Source organism: Homo sapiens, chromosome 15 (assembly GCF_000001405.40).
Source record: "Homo sapiens chromosome 15, GRCh38.p14 Primary Assembly".
NCBI lineage: Eukaryota > Metazoa > Chordata > Mammalia > Primates > Hominidae > Homo > Homo sapiens.
Window position 1 is genome coordinate 99,466,256 of NC_000015.10, and position 1,273 is coordinate 99,467,528.

Sequence of the window (1,273 nt, forward strand, 5' to 3'; positions counted from 1 at the left end):
AAAGGATTCTTGTAGGGATGGATCACTGTATCACTGTATCCGGGTTATGATACTGTACTATAGTTTTGAGTGGTGTTACCACTGGGGGAAACTGGGTAAAGGGTACATGGTATTTCTCTGTATTATTTCTTACAACTGCATGTGAATCTACAATTATCACAAAATCAAATATGTAACTTAAGAAAAGACATCTTTAAGAAAAACACTCTAAATGTCTGTAGTTAGGAGGCCAACAAAATAAACTATGGGTCATTCATACTCTGCAAGACAAGCAAGTGTGACAAAGAAGAAGAGAAGCCAACCTGAAGGGCATGGAATCAGAGGTGAGTGAAAATAGCAAGAATAGAAGAGGATATAGATGTCATTCTTTGTCCACAAAACAAGACCAATTTTAAGAATGTCTGTAAACTCACGTAGAAAAACATCTGGGCAGGCACACTGAGCGCTTCACGTTGGTTTCTCGGGGTAAGGGAATTGGCTGGGAGGCACACCTCTACTTTTAACAACGAACTTGTGCTAAACAAACAAACAACAACAAAACCCACTTCATTTTACCGATTAAGCAACCGAGGCTTAGCAGTGATGAAAACAACGGTCGAGGTCACCGAGTGGGGAAGAGGTTCAGAGCTTGGCTCCAAACCCAGAGCTTCTGACTCAGATCAGACGGGTGGGAGCAGGAAACCAGTTGCGTGGGTCTCCTCCAGGCCTGCTGCCGCTGTGCACTCGAGGGCCTGCAGATGAGGAGCGCTCCAGAGAGGAAGAACCTGGGACAAATAAGACCAGAGCGGACGCAGAGGACAGGAAATGGTACCTGCTGGGGTCTTCCCTGCCTCCTGGTGCAGACAGTGCCGGGACCTCAGCAGGGCAGAGGGGCAGACAGGGCCAGGGAGTCTGGATCTGGGGAGATGCCCAGCTACTTAACAGGCTGTGCAGTGGGCACTGGATGGCCACCTTTCCTGTCTTCCTGGGTTCTCGCTTCCCAGGCAGGAGGCAGATCGCAGTCAATCACCAGGGTGCAGTGTGATCCTGGAATCACAGCTCAGGGAGCCCCAGCTTGGCTGGAGGCCTGTGGGGAGCCCCAGAGAAGCCACATTTGACCTCGGCTCTGAACAAGGATGGGTACGACTGCGCTGGGTAGAGTGGGAAGAGGTGGTTTTCTAGGAGAAAGGATTAGCGTGGACAAAGGTGTGGGGGCAGAGGGTCGCCTGGGGCTGAAACCAGCAGGCCTGGCCGGAAGCATGGCGCAAAGCCAGGCTGCCAGCGGGGGTCCCGG

The 1,273-nt window shown here is 51.1% G+C and overlaps 1 annotated feature.

Annotated features, from left to right (window-relative positions):
* Positions 463–964: an enhancer, noted in NCBI's record as "H3K4me1 hESC enhancer chr15:100006923-100007424 (GRCh37/hg19 assembly coordinates)". NCBI's record gives its function as "activates a minimal SCP1, AML or CMV promoter by ChIP-STARR-seq in primed H9 embryonic stem cells {active_cell/tissue: H9 hESC(primed)}" and the evidence as "EXISTENCE:reporter gene assay evidence [ECO:0000049][PMID:30033119]".